Source organism: Homo sapiens, chromosome 10 (genome assembly GCF_000001405.40).
Source record: "Homo sapiens chromosome 10, GRCh38.p14 Primary Assembly".
NCBI classification, from domain to species: domain Eukaryota; kingdom Metazoa; phylum Chordata; class Mammalia; order Primates; family Hominidae; genus Homo; species Homo sapiens.
In genome coordinates, this window is record NC_000010.11 from 70,072,827 (window position 1) to 70,089,742 (window position 16,916).

The 16,916-nt window shown below is 46.0% G+C and overlaps 1 protein-coding gene across 1 annotated transcript in view; it reads left to right on the plus strand.

Annotated features, from left to right (window-relative positions):
- Positions 1–16,916, plus strand: part of MACROH2A2 (macroH2A.2 histone) — a 59,437-nt gene that overhangs the window by 19,981 nt on the left and 22,540 nt on the right. Inside the window, exon 2 of the mRNA NM_018649.3 lies at positions 2,774–3,004. Coding sequence (NP_061119.1) covers positions 2,833–3,004 — 172 coding nt within the window. The 5' untranslated portion in view covers positions 2,774–2,832. The remainder of the gene's footprint in view (positions 1–2,773; positions 3,005–16,916) is intronic.

Genomic DNA, 16,916 nt, shown 5'->3' on the forward strand with positions numbered 1-16,916 from the left:
CACACCGATAGTCCCAGCTACTTGGGAGGCTGAGGCAGGAGAATCGTTTGAACCCCAGAGGCAGAAGTTGCAATGAGCCGAGATTGCACCACTGCACTCCAGCCTAGGGGACAGAGCAAGACTCCTTCCCAAACAACAACAACAACAACAAAAAGATGTCACTAGGGCATAGGAATTTTTCAGCTCCATTATGATCATACAGGACCACCGTCATATGCGGTCATTGTGGGGTGCATGACTGTAGTTATGTAGAAGCGGCGCTATGCCCAGGACTTTCTGTTCCGCAGTCCTGGGCTCCTTCCACTATAGCAAGAGCCACCTCCATTTAGAGCACCACAACCCAGCTAGCAAACACGTGCTATGTGAGGACAGGGACCACTTAGCAATGCTGTCTGTTTCCCCTCTTTCCTGCGACAGGGCTGACTAACAGCAGGCCCTCCATACATTTACCTAACACATAGTTGCTTGCTTCCTCAAAGAGAAAACCCCTACAAGTGGATTTATGAGAGTGAGCAGCCACAGACAGCAGCAGCACGGCAAAGGTGGGAGATCTTGTTTCTTCCAGATGAAGAAACAACGTGATAAAACAACATGGCAACATTGCCTGATCTCTGGGCCTTGCAGTCAAAGAGATAATAGTCTAAGGCACTTCTCTCATCTTTGCTTGTACCTAACTGATGAATAGCTACATCCTTTGGTGGCAAAACGACATATGAAGTATAAAATAGGGGAGTAGTAAGTACATATGAGCATTTTAAATAATGTATATGAAGTATATACTAAAATGCCCCAAACTTGAATCATTCACCTCGGGGACAGGTGAGAGTTGAGAAAGGGCTTTGTTGCTAATTTCAGAGCTTTTAATATAGTCTCCTTGGTCGTAATGGAGTTATCAGATGCTTTAGAAAATTGAAATCTGTTCACTCTTTCACCTAGATTAAGTAAATCCTGGTTTTGTATCTATTTCATATTAACCAAGCATTCATTTAATATCTTCTTCTGTCATATTTAGGGACTTTCTTGGGCCCTCCTTTCCTTTGCCATCTTGCCTGTTGGTATGATGACCTAACCAGGATCAATGGATAGAACCAATTTCAATTTGTTCTGACTTTCTCATTTTTCATCTCCAGAGGAAACGGCCCCTGAGAACGCCATTGACCTTGGGGAAGAGAGCTTTGATATATTAACACATTTCCTAGAAAATGTCATTTTCCTTTTCTTTGCTCCTGACCGTTTGTCCCTTGTAATTTGCTTTTACTTACTGAAGATTATATTCCATTTGTCGGTTACGGTACCCTGTCAACCAGCAGACCAAGCCTACCCAAGATCTACTACAATTTTCTAGATTGTGGGTGGGCTTACAAAGACTCTGTCCAGGAATATGTGATTATTTTGTCTTCACACAAAAGATAGCTTCCTTAAGCAACAGTGAATGTTTCTCTCTTAGTTCCTGGTGCTGAATTCACCTCTTTGTGCTGACTGTGAAGTTTCTCCCAAAATCAACCTGGATTCCTCATTCCAAGGAACAGACGCTCAGGCTGCATTATGGCTTTTCATTTGCTATGTTTGCATACCACACATATTCAGTAAAACTGCCTCTTCTGGCCTGTTTCCATTTCTGAGTGCTACATTATTGCAGGATTTAGAAAAGTGTCTAAAAAATACACATCAGCTCTCAGTTATGTCTGTCAAACCTAACGGATGGTTTGGCTGTGTCCCCACCCAAATCTCATCTTGAATTATAGCTCCCATAATTCCCACATGTTGTGGGAGGGACCTGGTGGGAGATAATTGAATCATGGGGGTGGTTTCCCCCATACCATTCTCGTGGTAGTGAATAAGTCTCACGAGATCTGATGGGTTTATAAGAGGAAACCCCTTTCGCTTGGTTCTCATTCTCTCTTGTCTACTGCCATATAAGACGTGCCTTTCACCTTCCACTATGATTGTGAGGCCTCCCCAGCCACGTGGAACTGTGAGTGCATTAAACCTCTGTTTCTTTATAAATTACCCAGTCTTGGATACATCTTTATTAGCAGTGTGAGAACAGACTAATACACTAACCATTATAATGGGCAAAGTCATATAAGCCAAGAGGAATTGTATTAGTTTTCTTATTGTTGCTGGAACAAATTACCCCAAACTTAGTGTTTAAAACAATACAAATTTATTTTCTTATAGTTCAGGGGTCAGAAGTCCAAAATTAGCCTTACTGGGCTAAAGTCAAGGTATCAGCAGGACTAATTCCTTCTGATGGCTTTGAGGGGAAAATCCTTTTCCTTCTGTTCTCACATCTCTTACTGCCCACTCTGACCCCCTGCCTCCGTCTTCTAAGGCAATTATGTTAGCCCCATCCAGATAATCCAAGATAAACCTCCCCATCTCAAGACCCTTAGCTTAATCCCATCTGCAAAGTCTCTGTCATATAAGATAACAGTCACAGGTTCTGGGGATGAGGAAATTGACATCTTTGGGGATCATTGTTCAGCTGACCACAGGACCGAGACCTCCCTATTCAGTGACAGTTTTCTGTGGCCTTTCCTCTTGAGGTCAGGCTGCTTTGGTGGGGGAGGGATGTTTGTGGGTGGGCTTGCCCATGCCCTTCAGAGACCCCATGCCTGACTCCGTGCCTCCTGCACCTGCAGTAGCAGCCAGATTTCAGCTGCCTCCCCAGGGCAGTCAGAGGTGTCACAGTGGTGCCCAAGGGCCATGCCACTGTGCCCAAGATGTTTGCCAACTACCCTTCCTCAACTCTGTCTTCTTTCCTTTTTAGCATTGTGTTAGTGCCGGGAGGCCACTGTGTCAGCAAGCTGAGAGGGAAACTGAAGCAAGATGTCGGGCCGGAGTGGGAAGAAGAAAATGTCCAAGCTGTCCCGTTCAGCTAGGGCAGGTGTCATCTTTCCAGTGGGGAGGCTGATGCGTTATCTGAAGAAAGGGACGTTCAAGTACCGGATCAGCGTGGGCGCCCCTGTCTACATGGCGGCAGTCATTGAGTACCTGGCAGGTAATGAGGACACGCAAAGGAGGCTGCCTGCTCCCAGGTCCCCACCCTCCCCTGGGTCCCCCTCGCAGGCTGGGGAGGGATGCTCCAAATTGCCTTTTGGCTGGCTCAAGGCTACTGTGGGTGGTGACAGGGTTGCAACTGGCCTGCTTGGCTAAAATCAACTTCTGCAGACTTTAGGGGAGAGAAGAGGGTATAGGAAGGACAGGTGATCAGCATGGAAGGCGGAGAACCCACAATCAAGTAAGTGGCCCTCCTAGACCAGTCCTGCAAAAGATATGTCTTGCTTTAAGCGAATGCAATATATAAATATCTAAGCTCCTGAAGAAAATAAACTGCAGGGAGAATGGGGGATTTGATATTCATTTTGTAAAAGGGAGTCTTTTTACATCAAATTGCTCATTAAACATTAGTTTTCCTGGTATATTTAAACTGGGACTCAGGGTCCATAAATAACATTTATCGCATCATTAAAAGCATCTTTCAGGTGCTGGCATGAAGCCGATGTAATGTTCTAATTTTGCTCTCCTTCACTGAGGTGATTCTCGTCTAATAGGGGTGCACAGAAAATAGTTTCCCATATTTGTTGTTAAAGTTAATTTTTTTACTGAAAGATGAGATTTTGCTGTGTGTGTTCTTTATCTTAGTAACTTTCTCTTTAGCTTTTTTGTTGTTGTTCTCTTATGTCATAGTTAAATAGAAACCAAACTTTACAATATCAGGGGTGCTTTTCAGAAGTATTTACAAATAAAATATATAAATATATATGTACAATAAGTATGATTTAGTCCCTTGTTGGGTAATAGCCACGAGCAACAATGTCTCTGACTTTGCCCAAGGTTAACAAATTCCCTAGACACCAAGGTTAAGTTCCTTGGAAATTCTGCCAGGTTAAAAAGCAAACCTCCCCAGATGGTCTAACACTGGGGAGGCAAGCCTCACTGCATGAAATCCTCTGGGCTGTGGCAGGGCTGGTCCTCTCTTCTGTCCCCAGATTCCTCTTTTCTGCTGGTTTTTCCTCTTTAGATGCTCAGTCCTGCCCTGCCCTCTTAGTCCCCATCGCCCACCAACCAACATTTATTGGTGAAAGGTTTTCCTTGATCCACGGATCCAAGGAGGAAATGTCCTCCCCCGAGAGCTTCCACCAGGCAGACCTCTGCATCATGAGCCTTCCTTCCTCTTATGAAATGAAAGCCTTCCTCCTGAGCTAAAAGTCCTTCCCTCCTTTAGGAGGTTGGGGAGAGCTGGAGGGCTCTGAAAAGCAGTTCTTTTCCAAGTGGGGTCACGCAGGGATCTTGTTGACAAGGGCAGGGTGGCACCTGAGACTCCATTCCTCAAACTCCCAGGTGATAATGATGCTGCTGGTCCAGGGACCACATGTTGAATAGCAAGATTGTAGCCAGCCTTTTAACCTCAAGCCAAAAGATGTGGGGAATGCTTGTTTCAAATGCAAGTTCCCGCCAGGCACAGTGGCTCACACCTGTAATCCCAGCACTTTGGGAAGCTGAGGCGGGTGGATCACCTGAGGTCAGGAGTTCGAGACCAGCCTGGCCAATATGGTGACACCCCATCTCTACTAAAAATACAAAAATTAGCCAGGCGTGATGGCAGCTACTGGGATTACAGGCCGGTAATCCCAGCTACTTGGGAGGCTGAGGCAGGAGAATCACTTGAACCCAGGAGTTGGAGGTTGCAGTGAGCTGAGATCACACCACTGCACTCCAGCCTAGGTGACAGAGCGAGACTCCGTCTCAAAAAATAAAGGCCGGGCACAGTGGCTCACGCCTGTAATCCCAGCACTTGGGAGGCCGAGGCGGGCAGATCACGAGGTCAGGAGATCGAGACCATCCTAGCTAACACGGTGAAACCCCATCTCTACTAAAAAATAATAATAATACAAAAATAAAAATAAAAAATAAAATGCAAGTTCCTAGATATACTCTCAAAGGGTCTGATTCACTGGATCTGGAGTGAGGCCAAGGAATCTGATGGGAAAACCTCCCAGCTGAGACAGGGAGAGAACAGACTTTGAGAAGAGTTTATGAGGCTTTAAAACAACCTGTTAGGTGTGTGTCACCCACTGGGACTGGAAGACACTGAGTTAACTGCAAGATCCCACAGCTTCCAGATGGGGAACTAGGACTCCCTCACGCCCTCGACCTCAAGCCACGCAGTTTTGCTGCCCTACACTACCCCAATATTTGTGTGATGAAAATAACTAAGTACTTCCTGTGCCTCCGTTTGGCAAAAGTCTAATCCGTGCATATACAAAATTTGGCCTTTGGAATCCCCAGCATCTCTGTTAGTCTTTGGTTCAGATGTGTGAGATAAACGAAGCTTACCTCTTCCTGTTCGTTCATCCATTCAAAGAGCATTTGTTGAGCATCTCCACGTCAGCACACACAGTAAGTCCTTAGGCAGAGTTCCCGCAATAGAATTGGGCCATTTATACAGTGGGTTGAACATGGAGAGGATGAGCACCTGCAAGGGTGCCATTGCCAAAGTCCTCCTGCCCCCGGCCAGTCCCAGTGTCCAGACCATCCTGGGCCACGTGGAGGAGGAGAAGGTGACATTGGTCTCCTGAGGCCCAGGCCTGTCCTCTGTGTCCTTTCCCTCCCTTCTTTGTGCCCTTTCTCTCCCCCAAAGGCAGGCAGGCACTGAGTGCAGGCTCAGATGTCGGTTCCAATCGGGATGACTCATTGACCAGCTCTGTTACCTTAACCTCTCTGAGCTCCAGGTGTTTCCAGAACTAACTCTTTTAACCTCATTCAATGAGCTAATATGTGTAAAACACCTGGCGTATAGGATGCACTCAATAAATGCTAATTCTTCTCCTCCCCCCTCTATTAAGAGCTGACAAAATCATTCAGGACAAAGTATAAATGACTAATTCCATTAAGGTGTTGTATTTTCAGGCTGAATTTGCATTTTAATGAGACAAGGTGTTTTAATCCAAGGGAATGAATCATATTAGTGGAATTGCAAGCTACTGTTGAGTAAATGACATGGGGGATTTTAGTCTGTTTTTTGGTTTGTTTGTTTTTTAAAGAGGTATCCATTGATTCTGTTTAGGGAAGGGGGGTCAAAGTGTGGAAGCCTCCTGTCACCCTTGAAATGACTTCCACATTCATGAAACAAATCTAGACTGAGTGCCTCATTTGAATCAGGTCTTGAAGATACAGCAGAAAACCAGCTAACTTGGTCCTTCCCATTGCTGGACTTAGAGCCTAGTGAGGAGGACAAGAAGGAAACGCCTCACAATAAGATCAGGTGCTGTCGGGCAGGGAATGAGAGGAACTTCGGGAACTGCGGGTTGGGGGAAGGGCTGCCTAATCTAACAGAAGTGTTGTTAAGACCTAAACCAGGTTGTCAACCCTGCATTTTCTCGTATCGATTGATTTCAAATCCTGATGCCTGGGTCCCACCCCCGAGACTCTGGGGTATTTTCTGTGCATCAGGATTCTTAAAAGCTCCCCCAAATGATTCTGATGGGCAGCCAGGTGGGGAAGGGAGTCAGCCAGATTCAGACTGGGGGGGCGGGTGAACTAGGGGAAGATAGTAAGGGAGGTGGGGAGTAAGGGAGAAGACTCCAAGTTTAAAAGAGTGTGTGGCCCTTTCTAATGTGCCGAGAGCAGAGCTTGGAAATGGGAGGAGTGAGAGATGAAATGGGGGCAGGGCAGCAGGCGCTAGACTGTGACGGCCCTTGAAGGCCACGTTGAGGGTTCGCGCGCGCGCGCGCACACACACACACACACACACACACACACACACACACACACGGCAGAGGAGGCATCAAAGAGAGGTGGCAGCATCTGCAAGGCATCACTCTGGCTTTAGGTAGAGATCAGTTGTCAAGGAGCAAGATCAGATTCCAGGAGACCAGTGGAGTTGTTTTAGTGTCACTTTGTGAAGAACTGACAGTGGCCAGGACCAAGGGTGCACAGTGGGGATGGTGAGAAGAAATGGAAAATCTGGGAGCTTTCTGGAGGGCGGAGTCAGCTCCACTCCATAATGGATTGGATCCACAGGGAGGGGCATCAAGGATGATATGAATCTTGTAGGTATGGACTAGCTACTTTCTCTCAGGCCACACTGCCATGGGGTGAGAAGTAGATTGAGGTGTGGACTTGGAGACAAAAGGAGTAGGGAATGGGTAAAAGAAGTCTGACCAGCTGGACGTGGTGGCTCACGCCTGTAATCCCAACACTTTGGGATGCAGAAGCGGGCAGATCACCTGAGGTCAGGAGTTCGAGACCAGCCTGACCAACATGGAGAAACCCCATCTCTAATAAAAATACAAAATTAGCCGGACGTGATGGTGCATGCCTGTTATCCCAGCTACTCGTGAGGCTGAGGCAGGAGAATCACTTGAACCCAGGAGGCGGAGGTTGTGGTGAGCCGAGATCGCGTCATTGCACTCCAGCCTGGGCATCAAGAGCAAAACTCCATCTCAAAAAAAAAAAAAAGAGTCTTGCCGAGAGGAAGGAGAAGAGAGAGCAAAGCAGCTAGTGGATGGAGAATGGTGCCTGTACCTGAAGTAGGGAGCAATGGATGAGAACCAGGCTGCAGCAGGAGGGGCTCAGTTTGGGACCTGTTGAGCTTTGGTGTCTATAAGATGTCCAAGAGGGCTGGGCAGAGTGGCTCATGCCTGTAATCCGAACACTTTGGGAGGCCAAAGTAGGAGGACCACTTGAGTCCAGGAGTTCCAGACCAGCTTGGGCAAGATGGTGAGACCTCGTCTCTACAAGAAATTAAAAAATTAACCAGGTGTGTGCTGGGCACGGTGGCTCAAACCTGTAATTCCAGCACTTTGGGAGATCAAGGCGAGTGGATCACCTGAGGTCAGGAGTTCAAGACTAGCCTGACCAACATGATGAAACCCCATCTCTACTAAAAATACAAAAATAAGCCGGGCATGGTGGTGCATGCCTGTAATCATCCCAGCTACTTGGGAAGCTGAGGCAGAAGAATCACTTTAACCCGGGAGGTGGAGGTTGCAGTGAGCCAAGATCACACCATTGCACTCCAGCCTGGGGAACAACAGTGAAACTCCATCTCAAAAAAAAAAAAAAAAAAAAAAAAAAAACCTAACTGGGTGTGGTGGCATGTTCTGAATAGTCCCAGTTGCTAGGGAGGCTGATGTGGGAGGATTCCTTGAGCCCAGGAATTTGAGGCAGCAGTGAGCTATGATTCTACCACTGCACTCCTCAGCCTGGGTGACCAAGCAAGGCCCTGTCTCTCAAAAAAAAAAAAAAAAAAAAAAAAGATGTCCAGAAGAGCAGAGTGGATAGAAATGCTGGATCCAGCCAGGCCTGAACCTAGATGCTGGTTCTGCCACGTATCAGCTATGAACCCTCAGGATCATTGCTTTACCATTCATGATGTTACTGTGAGGATTACATAAAATAATGCATGAAAAGTGCTTAGCACCGCTCGGCACACATGAGCAACTCCATCCATGTGGCTATTGCTCTTATTGAGTGAAGACCCCCTAGGTGTGTCGGGAGCTCAGGAGGGAGCTGTGAGCAGGAGGTTCACATCGGTGTGTTAAGGCAGTGGAAGTGAGGGAGGTCACCCAGAGAGAGCACAGGACCCAGCATGAGTGACACCAGTGTGCCCAGTGGGCCAGGGAGAGGGGGAAAGGATGGCAAAGGAGGCTGAGGAAAGCCAGAGGGTAAGGAGGAAAGATGTGAGCGTGTGACGCGTCAGAGGCCAAGGGAAGGAAGGGAAGGCCAGGAGCCCCTAAGGGTCACGCTGATAAAAATCAGACAAGGACAACAGATCTAGCCACCTCAGGGTCATGGTGACCTTGGCAAGGACGGCATGGGAGGTCAGAACCAAACCACAGTGAGTTGAGAAGTGGGAGGTATGGACTGGGAGACAGAGGGGGTGGGGACTCTTCACACTCAAAGTAGTTATTAGAGCTGCCACCAGATCTTATGAATGAATGAAATGTAAAATGGTGCAGCCTATAGTAAAAATAATTTAATTGTACATTTTTAAATAGCTAAAAGAGTATAATTGGATGGTTTGTAACACCAAGGATAAATGCTTGAGAAGGAAACCCCATTTTCCATGATGTAATTATTACACATTTAATGCCTGTATCAAAATATCTATGTACCCCATACATATATACACCTACCATGTACTCACAAAGATTAAAAATAAAAATGTATTTTTAAAAAAGCGTGCAGCCACTGTGGATAACAGTTTGATGGTTCCTAATAAAGTTAAACATAGAATTACCAATACAACCAAGCAATTCCACTCCTAGCCATATACCTAAGAGAACTGAAAGCAGGGACTCGGCCGGGCGCAGTGGCTCACGCCTGTAATCCCTGCACTTTGGGAGGCCGAGGCGGGCGGATCACCTGAGATCGGGAGTTCGAGACCAGCCTGACCAACATGGAGAAACCCCGTCTCTACTAAAAATACAAAATTAGCCGGGTGTGGTGGTGCATGCCTGTAATCCAGCTGCCGGGGAGGCTGAGGCAGAAGAATCGCTTGAACCCGGGAGGCGGAGGTTGCGGTGAGCCGAGATTGCGCCATTGCACTCCAGCCTGGGCAACAAGAGTGAAACTGTGTCAAAAAAAAAAAAAAGAAAAAAGAAAAGAAAGAAAGAAAGAGAGAAAGGACGCAAACAGATATTTGTGCAACCATGTTCTTAGCAGCATTTTTCACAGCAGCCGAAAGGTGGAAGCAACCAAGTGTCGATCAACAGACGAATGGATAAGCAGAATGTGGTATATTCATACAATGGGCTGTTATTCAGCCGTAAGATTTCAAAAAGGAATAAAATTCTGGTACATGCTACAACCTGGATGAATCTTGAAAACATTATGCATGTGAAGGATGGCAGACACAATAGGGCAATATCATATTGTTCCATTTATATGAGATACCCAGAGTAGGTGATACCTAGAAGAGGTGAATTCATACAGACAGAAAGTAGAATAGAGGTTACCAGGGGCTGGGGAGAGGGAGGGAGAAAAGATGAGTTATTGTTTAATGGGTACAGAGTTTCCATTTGGGATGATGAAAAAGTTCTGGAAATGGATAGTTATGGTTGTGCAACATTGTGAATATACTTAATGCCATTGAATTGTATCCTTTAAAATGGTTAAATGGTAGATGTATGTTATGTATGTTTTCCTTTTTTTTTTTTTTAATCAAGCACCTTGTTCTGAGAAGAGTTGTTGGGCCTCACCAGACCACCAAAGGGATTCCCAGCACCAACAGGGTATAGCCCCCCTGCAGGAGGGGGAGAGCTGGAAACACAGAGACAAGGAGCCTGGTGGGAAAGCTGAGCCCCCGGGGTCTCCAGAGCTGGCTGGAGGCCTTGGTCCCAGGTGGGGAGGCACCTCCTCCAGCTCCCAGAACAAGGGCTGCTGGGGACTGATGCAGACACTGCAGTATGCCCCTAGAGACAAGCAGCCCCCAGATACCTTCTTCCCACACACAGGCACAGCCTCTCTAAGTGACCCTCATTACACAACTCTTAAGTGACAGTATTCCACTCTTCTCTCCCACCCAAATCTCTGTGGCAAGCAGTGCTCTTCACCCCCACATGAACTGGATTCTCCTGCTGATGTCCTGGGGGCCAATGAGCCACCATCAGTAGGCTTCCCCTGGCCAGTCTACTGCTCCTGTCAGGTTTATGTCTGTGGTTTTTGAAGGCCCTCTCTTCCACACACTGCCTCTGGAAGGCAACCTGGGGCCACAGGCATGGCCAGGAAGAGAAGGCTGGGGACAACACAGTCAAAAAAGGAGGGCACAAATTCTCAGCCACACTGGGTGAGAGACAGCAGCCTGCCTCACCTGATTCTATGGACTGACTGGCTAGCCCCAGGTTCACATGTGATCATGATGCCAGAGCCACAGTGTCTCTAGCCCCAACCTGGTGAAGGAGGGTGCACAGTTCCGCAAAGAGTGCATGCTCAGCTGCTCATCTAGAATGCCCCATTGACCTGAACAAGCTTGCCTCCCAGAACGGTTATCACGTTCCTACTTCAGTTTCTTGATCTGTGGAATTGTGATAATGTTGGCCCAGTTCACATCTCCAATGTAAGTGAGGAAAAATGGACTGAAAAAACAAGCCCCAAATTCTGCAGTAGCGTTTTGTATGTGCTGACAGTAGATATTGATAGTAGATATTGAGAAGGAATTGTTTATAATCATTTTGATGATGAGAAAATGTTCTGTCATATAATACATTTTCAACTGACCAGAACAAGTAGGTCTTAAAATAGGGCTGAATTTCAGGACATCCCATGAAATCACTGTGTAACATAGACACTTGTCATTTACATGTCATTTCCAGATTATTGGGTCTCACCACTTAACACCAAAAATTTTCTTATCTAATGATCCTTATTTATTGCATTTGTGTTTTTAAAAGATTACTTTGACCACCAGCACATGTGGCCGTGCAGGTTGTACACGGCACAAGAACACACATTTAAGGGAATATCATTCAAATCCTAGACTACAAAGATTTGTGTATTTATTATGAGAATTTCCAGCAGATGGTAGTAAAGAGTTTTGTTCTAACAAAATCCAGAAAGTAAAGCATCTTGCTGGGCATGGTGGCTCACCTTTGTAATCCCAGCTACTCGAGAGGCTCAGGCGGGAGAATCACTTGAACCCAGGTTAAAACTGCGAGCCCAGGTTAAAACTGCAGTGAGCCTTGAGAGCACCACTGCACTCCAGCCTTGGTAACAGAGCAAGACTCCGTCTCTAAATATAAAAAAGTGTCTTGAGGCAGGATTGTCTTTTCTTTCTTTTTTTTAGAGGCAGGGTAAGTTTTTGTTGCCCAGGCTGGAGTGCAGTGGTGTGATCACGGCTCACTACAGCCTAGACCTCCTGAGCTCAAGCAATCCTCCTGCCTTAGCCCCCTAAGTAGGTGGAACTACAGGCACATACCACCAAGCCTGCCTAATTTTTGTATTTTTTGTAAAGACGGGGTTTCGCCGTGTTGCCCAGGCTGGTCTTGAATTCCTGAGCTCAAGTGCTCTGCCTGCCTCTGCCTCTGCCTCCCAAAGTGCTGGGACCACACCCGGCTAGGAGCATCTTTTTCTAATTTGCACAAAGGTACCTATTGGGTCACCAGTGGCCTTGCTGGCATGGATCTGGAGAACAACAAAACTAGGGACGGGGAAACCATCTAGACACTCAATACAATTATCTGGGCTGGAAGAGAAGAGAGCTTTAACTCAGGCAATGGCAACAAGAAGGCCAAAAGTATGTGAGATTGATGAGGCTGGATGGACCCCATGTGGTGACTGGAAGGAGATGGGGAGTGGGAGAGGGAAGGATAGGGAATCACTCCTAGATCTCTGGTAGGAGCCATGTGTGGATGGAGATACCAGTTCTAAGGGCGAAGAGAAACGCAGGTTTGGGGAAATGATTTTGATTTGGGGACTGATTTTGCTTTACCTGTGAAGCCCCCAGGTGAGGCTATCTGGGTGATATCATGGGAGGGCTGGAGGTGCAGATTCAGTAGTACAGACGGGTGGGTAGAAGCTGGAGCCATGAGTCCAGTGGGGTTTTACCCAGAAGATTGCATGGCCCTAGCAGAGCAGAAGGCACAGACAGAACCCCAGGGACACTGCCAAGCAGTGGGCAAGTGGACAAGGAAGAAAGGGCCTGGCAAGGAGACAGAGTCTTGCTCACTCCACCTCACCTGTCCCAACCCTATAATTAATGTGCTATTTCCCATCTTCTGTGGGCTGGAATATCCACTGTTGGTTTAAATTGTATACAAAATGAAGGGACATAGACTCTTCCAAAATAATGTGTATGAGCTTTACAGCATCCCTTTTGGCTAAAGAAATTCTTTTTACTGCTAGATACTCAGCTGTATTCCAGATGGTTACTATTGCTAGAAGTGTGACTTGTGAGAAGTGAGGGATTTGCCATAGAAGTCCCCACCACTTAACAGAATTATGATCTTCCCACAACATTTGCAGTAGAGTAAATTTAGTGCTGTATAAATCCAGTTTTCCTATTGATTGCCAATATAAGGATTTGGCAGGATTAATAAAATCCCCAAGATCAATAAAGTCACTCAAGAATGTAACAAACTTTTATAGTTCATGGGACTATATTTGCCATAATAACATTTGAAACTATTAATGATGATTAATGTTTTTCTTGTTTCATTTGCTTTGAATTTTTTTTTTTTTAGAGGCAGGGTCTCCTCTGTCACCCAGGCTGGAGTGCAGTGGCACTATCACAGCTCACTGCAGCCTTGGAACTCCTGAGCTCAAATGATCCTCCCACCCCAGCCTCCCAAAGTGCTGGGGTTATAGGCATGAGCCCTGTGCCTGGCTAATGATTAATGTTATTACAAATATTTAAATGGTGAAGTCCATGTCTCAAGGATGTCCAGACTAAACATCCAAAAGAGATAAGAACTATTTGATGTAGATTTTCTGTGATGTATTATCTTTTTCTCTCTAAGGAAAAAAAAAAAAAAAAGTCCCACCACTGCTTTTGCACTAGAACACATAATCAAGATTTTCTTTCTTATAGATTGTTTCAAAAGAGTTTTTTAAGAGCCCAGTTGCATGATCCCCAAGCATCATCTGCATTCCCTGAATTGTGCTGCATGCTGAGTCTCTGCCTTCAGTCTCGTCCTATGCTACGTTTGATTCCGGCAGATTATTTTGTCTGTGAATGTCTGTGCATCTGTCTGTCAAGCTGAAAATAACCTGACCTTCATGGGCTTCCTGAAGACTCCAAATATGTAGTGCTTCCCATGGCCCTGCCTCTTATTGCTGACAGTTAATTTGATGAACTTGGGGAGGGCGCTTAATTTCTCCCTCTAAATGCAGGTAACAGGAGAGAGGAAAGTAATGATCCAGGATGCTAAATTCAATTCAGTTGCTCAGAAGCTTAAAATTGGGAGGCTCATTAACCCCCAGACCCATCTAGAAAAAGGGATGAGTGGAGTGCTTCTTCCTCCCATGTGTACCCCAGAAATGAGAGTCCCTTGAGATGAGCAGGGGCAGCACACTTCCCTTCACTGTGCACAATGGAGAGCTGCACATTTTAACCCAGAGCCATAAAGCAAGCCTGCCGGGAACAGCGGCTCACGCCTGGAAATCCCAACACTTTGGGAAGCTGAGGTAGGAGGACCACTTAAGCCCAGGAGTTTGAGACCAGCCTGGACAACAAAGTAAAACCCTGTCTCTACAAAAAAATTAAAAATTAGCCTGGCATGGTGGCACAAGCCTGTGGTCCCAGCTACTGAGGCGGCTGATGGGGGAGGATCACTTGAGTCCAGGAGGTTAAGGCTGCAGTGAGCCATCACTGCACTCCAGCCTGGGTGACAGAGGTGAGATCCTGTCTCCAAAAATAAAGTCTATTTGAAAGCCTTATAATTCCATTTTCTTTTCTTTCTTCTTTTTTTTTTTTTTTTAAACAGAATCTCACTATGTCACCCAGGCTGGAGTGCGGTGGCCCAGTCTCGGCTCACTGCAGCCTCCACTCCCAGGTTCAAGTGATTCTCCTGCCTCAGCCTCCCAAGTAGCTGGGATTATAGGCGCACGCCACCAAGCCTGGCTAATTTTTGTATTTTTAGTAGAGACGGGGTTTCACCATGTTGGCCAGTCTGGTCTCGAACTCCTGACCTCAAGGGATCCACCCATCTCTGCCTCCCAAATTGCAGGGATTACAGGCATCAGCCACCATGCCTGGCCACTCCATTTCCTTTTAATGGGCATCCTTTTGAAGAGAAAGCAAGGATTGGGCAACAGCCTGAAAGCACAAGCCTGCTTATCTAATACAGCATTAATTTCATTTTTCCAGTATAATCCATGGGTTCACAGACAGCATTAATTTCAAATACCCTATCCCACTGTCCCGACACGCATGCTCACACTCCTCAAATTTTAGTGCCCCAATCTTTGATTCAGAAAACACGGTCACTGCATAAATGAATTGTTGGCAAACACAATATTCATTGCTTAATAATCTGGAAAAGATGTGAGAATGAATTTGCGGTGATTCAGCACTTTTCTTTATGGAAATGCCTATGAATATTTAACTGTAATGTTTATTTTATTCTAATTTTTTGTTAATCACATGTGCTTAGTTAATACAGCATACTTATGTCAAGTTTTTGTGATTGCCGTAGATTTTATGAATGATGGCAATTTCATGTGCTCTTTTATTTGAAATTAGATTGATTGCAAAGACTCATACAAAGTCATCTGTTAATTTTAGGGCTTAGTATTTGTGCCATTGTATCAGCATATCCTCCCAGCACATACCCACATGCACACGCACACATATGCCCGCCTGCACACTCACACACACACAGTACATTCACGCACACACACGCACACATATGCCCGCCTGCACACTCACACACACACAGTACATTCACGCACACACACACGCACATATGCCCGCCTGCACACTCACACACACACAGTACATTCACGCACACGCACACATGCACACTTTCCCCCCTCATTATCAGTGAGACAACAACACATTGGCACATTCCTTCTAGCTTTCTAAGGGAAGGAATTTTTCTTTAAAGGCTCATTCATACTTTGGAAGGCAAATTTGATTTAGCAGAACATCCTTCTAAAATTGAGGAAGAAAGAAAAATAACGAAATAAAACAGAAGAGGAAGGGGGAAAGCATATAGATAGTAGAAACCAATTCTACAGATTTCTTTTTTTACCCCAAGGTTTTAATAGCATGGGAAATAGCTTTAGGAAAATTTCTTCTTATCAATGTTTTCACATTGGCCAAGTGGCGTGTTTGTTAAAGTCAGCCATGCTAAAGTTTTGGGAAGTATGTGGAAGACCCCCAGGCTCTATGTGCTTTCCTACGCAGGTCTCCTGGCATTCCCTTTAGGAATTCACTTTTCGGGTTAACCATTTCCTCATCCCAGAGTGTAAGTCAGTCCTTCCATCCACTTTTCTTTTAGGACAGGGAGGACCTAGGGCATTGAGCAAAGAGGAAAAGGAGAGTCAACCAGGCGCAGTGGCTCAGGCCTGTAATCCCAGCACTTTGGGAGGCCCAGGCGGGTGGATCACCTGAGGTCAGGAGTTCGAGTCCAGCCTGGCCAACATGGTGAAACCTCATCTCTACTAAAAATACAAAAATTAGCCAGGTGTGGTGGTGTGCGCCTGTAATCCCAGCTACTCAGGAGGCTGAGGCAGGAGAATTGCTTGAACCCAGGAGGCGGAGGTTGCAGTGAGCCAAGATCATGCCACTGCACTCCAGCCTGGGCAACAGAACGAGCAAGACTCCGTCTCAACAAAAAAGAAAAAGACAGTCTAAGAGAAGTCCAAGTGGGCACCCAGAACAGACTTTACCTACATCACTATTCTCTTCAGAGATGGCCCTGTGCCCCACAGACTGAGAGGAATTTAGGTTCTATAGCAGGATTCTGTATTGGTCAGGATTCACTTCTATAGACAGTGGCTTCAACAAGAGAGTTTATTTCACTCTCATACAAAAGAAGTCTAGAAAAGACAGTCTAGATTGGTAGAGACTCAGTTTCCTTCTGTGCTCTTGCTCTAGCATGCACAACTTCTTCTTCTTGGTCAAAGATGGCTGCCCAAATTCCAGCCATCGTGTCCTCAGCCCACCATTAGAAAGGAAAGAAGGGCACAGCCCCTTCATTGATGGACACTTCCCAGAAGGACCAGAAAACACAATGGCTTGCCTTCTTTGGCCAAATATTGGTCACAGAACCACACTTATCAAGGGAAATATAGTTTTCCTGCAGTTATGGGCTTGGCAAAAAAAATCAGAAGTCCTGTACCAAGGAAGAAGAGGAAGAGGGAGAACTGATGCTGAGGGACAACCAGGAGGCTTTGCCACAGGATCGGATAACATCTTGCTAAAATAGCTTACTTCTCTGTGACCTGACTTATTTTTTCTTTTT